Source organism: Homo sapiens, chromosome 6 (assembly GCF_000001405.40).
Source record: "Homo sapiens chromosome 6, GRCh38.p14 Primary Assembly".
Taxonomy (NCBI): Eukaryota; Metazoa; Chordata; class Mammalia; order Primates; family Hominidae; genus Homo; species Homo sapiens.
Genome location: NC_000006.12, coordinates 116,568,182 through 116,571,478, shown reverse-complemented (window position 1 = coordinate 116,571,478; position 3,297 = coordinate 116,568,182). Strand labels below are relative to the sequence as shown.

General features: G+C 41.2%; 2 annotated features.

Moving 5' to 3' along the window:
- Positions 41-370: an enhancer, noted in NCBI's record as "active region_24995". NCBI's record gives its function as "activates an Ori minimal core promoter by ATAC-STARR-seq in GM12878 lymphoblastoid cells {active_cell/tissue: GM12878}" and the evidence as "EXISTENCE:reporter gene assay evidence [ECO:0000049][PMID:35858748]".
- Positions 401-580: an enhancer, noted in NCBI's record as "active region_24994". NCBI's record gives its function as "activates an Ori minimal core promoter by ATAC-STARR-seq in GM12878 lymphoblastoid cells {active_cell/tissue: GM12878}" and the evidence as "EXISTENCE:reporter gene assay evidence [ECO:0000049][PMID:35858748]".

Genomic DNA, 3,297 nt, shown 5'->3' with positions numbered 1-3,297 from the left:
GGCGCAGAGTCCCCGGCTGGAAGGCCCAGGGCCCAAAGCCAGACCCGGCTTGCTTAACTGCAGCTCCGCGCCGGCCTCCGCCTGCTCCCTACTTCCACGTTCGACTCGTTCTGCCTGGCCAGGGGGCACTGATTTGCTGCCTGTCCCACACTCGCTCGGGACTTGCTGGGACGGTGCGCGCGGTCTGGCATTCGCCAAGGACACCTACAGCCGGCTCCTGGGCTTTGCAGGGCCTGAGCCTTAGAAGCCTCTCAGCGCTGCATCCTCGCTCGATGAGTCTGGGCTGAAAGGCCGGCATCGCGCGTCAGTGAAGGATAGTGTCGCTGGTGGCCGGGCTGGGGCGAGGGGCGTCCGATGCCTTCACCTTTTCTGGTTTCCGGTTTGACGCCGTGGCGTAGGTGCTGCGGGCTTGCAACCTAGTGTGGACTGGTGGGGCTCAGGAGATTTCTGAGCTTCTCGAACTCCGTATTGCTTGGCGTCCTACGGGAGTTGGACGAGAGGCTGGGACCAGTGTAGATTCCACTGGGCAGGGGAGCAAAAGCTCTGCACTGCCTTGAATGAGTATGGAAGGGTCGGTCTAACTGCTTAATAAGTCGGGGTGGATCCAGGAGGGAGAAATAGACCGGAGGTCCGGCTTCTCGGTTCAGATCTTTAGGCTTAACTTCTGATTTTGTGAAATGAACGCAGCTGGACGTATGATAGATCTCAAGATGTCTGTGATTGTGTATTTGTGAATTGATGAAAGGAATGTAGATCTCAGTAATAACAATTATCATATGCAATGTAAAAATTGCAGTACCCCGAGAAATGTTGAGAACCTTTAATTTGGTAATACGACTTCCAAGAATAAACTTGAGCAAGTAGCATGCATCTGTGATCTCCAAAATCATTGCAGCAATTACAAAGAAAATTTTCAAAGAACCATGATGGCAAAAGCTAAGAAAATGGCTAAATAAACATGGTTAGCTTTATGAAAATGATATTAAAAACTATGGTAACAATAATAAAGGATCCCATGTTCCTTTATTATATTATTGCGCTAAGTCGAAAAATGGAAAATTTTAAGAAAATACTCAAAAGCTGTTGCCCACTTTTCTGTATTTTTCTTTGTTTTGATTTCTCTGTATTAAAGCTGGTTTCACTGGTATAGTGGGAGGAACACTTTTTAAATGAAAGATTCCTAATGATGAAGCCCCTGAAGCACCAGAAGGCACCTTGATCTTTTATTGAGGAGTGCTGCTTACCTATAGCAGAGGAACACTTTGATACTGATTCCGTGTTTACGGTATTAAGGGTTGATTTCAGGCGTTCTTTTAAACTTTAATGAAAAAGTGGAGTCTCCTAACTATGATGACAATCAAATAAAATACATAAAGTAACTTTGCAAGTATAAGTTGCTCATTTTTTTTGGATCGCCTCAGTTCAGAGGAATTATACTGATTTATTATGAGGAAAGAGCTGCCAGAGGAAACAGCTAGTGCATTAAGTCCTAAGTGGGGAGTCAAGGATGATTTTTGGCTGGAAGAACTGGAAAGACGAAGTTCTGTTGACCAAAATAAGTGAGGAAGACAGAATCAAATTTGGCAAGGAAGGTGGCATTACATCTTTAAATGACTCCTAGATGAAAGAAAATCAAGCAAAATTAAGTTTTTTTCTCCTAACAGAATAATAAAAACAACCTACCAAAAGAAATGAGATGCAGCAAAGCAACAAACATACAAGGTTTACGTTAGAAAAAGGTTACTTTTGGTTGCCAGTTGCAATCCAGTAAATGTACCTCTTTATTTTCATTCCTATTTCATTAACAAAATTTTTGGTAAAGCATCCTTTTCAAACCTTATGTATCACTGTAAATAAACCCTACATGCTTCAGAATGCTCAAGAGTGTTACTTTGATACTGGAGATGGCTCTTGTAATCAAGAAAACACTTCCGCAAATCTTTGTCACACCTACATAAGCATTATTAAGCATTTTTTAGTGGATCTCTAATTTCATTTTGACCATAACACATGCTTAACACAGCACAGCAAGTCCCTTAACTGAAATTGTGGAAAATTCTCATGAGGCAAATTGACTTTCTTTTAGTGTTTCATTTTTAATCGGTAGGTAGAGATGTTACAGACCAAGTGTTTTAAGCTCTGCAGGTAGGCAAATGGTGTGAGTCACTGATATGGTTTGGCTGTGTCCCCACCCAAATGTCATCTTGAATTGTAGTTCCCATAATCCCCACGTGTCCTGGGAGGGACCAGGTGGAGATAATTGAATCACAGGGCCGATTTTTCCCATCCTGTCCTTGTGATAGTTAGTTCTTATGAGATCTGATGGTTTTATAAGGGTCTTCCTTCTTCGCTGGGCACTCATTCTTCTTCCTGCAGCCATGTGAAAAAAAGGATGTGTTTGCTTCCTCTTCTGCCATGATTGTACGTTTCCTGAGGCCTTCTCATTCATGCAGAACTATGAGTCAATTAAAACTCTTTCCTTTATAAATTATCCAGTCTCAGTTATTCCTTCATAGCAGGGTGAGAACTGACTATTACAGCCATCATAGGATCTGGAACCAGAAGTGAGAAGCCCAGGCTTAGTCATTTGCAAGATACATAAGCTTATAATTCAGATGACATGAAATAATGTGTAAGCATGTTGTGTAAACTCCATATAAATATTATTTACTGGTAATTAAATTCATATACCATCTTGTAAAGCATTGCTATTCTCTGTTCATCTTTATTGCTAATGAAATTGTCCCTAAGAGATTCATCTTATTTGTATTCTTCTTAGTTTCTTCTGCAGGTAGTGCATATTAGCAGTTGCTGTTTACTAATGCTATCAGCCTTTAAAAATTATTTTGATGTTTATTTTTACTTTTCTGTGCCTGTGAGTTTTCTAGGCAATCACACTACTCTCAGAAGCTCAGTGTTGAGAATTCCCTATTTCATGCTTAATTTTAATTATCGAACAGTTCATGTGGCTAATGTTTCATTTACTCAGGTATCTCAAAGACTTTACCAGTCACAAGCACAAAGAGCCATATAAAATTTTAATTTTGTGTACTCTGAACAGAAATATCTTCAAGGGTAGTGAATCTCAGTAATACTTTCCAGCCTAACTCACTTCCCTGGCCTGCAGTCTACTGTGAGTCAACACAGAAGCCAGAGTGGTTCTGTTACAATGTAAACCAGTCCATATCACTCCTTTGCTCATAACTGCCCCATCCTCATCTCAGATTAAAACCATGTGTTTATAGTATAGGTCCTAGAGAATCTGGCTTCTTGATCCTCACCCTCACAGCTCTTCTT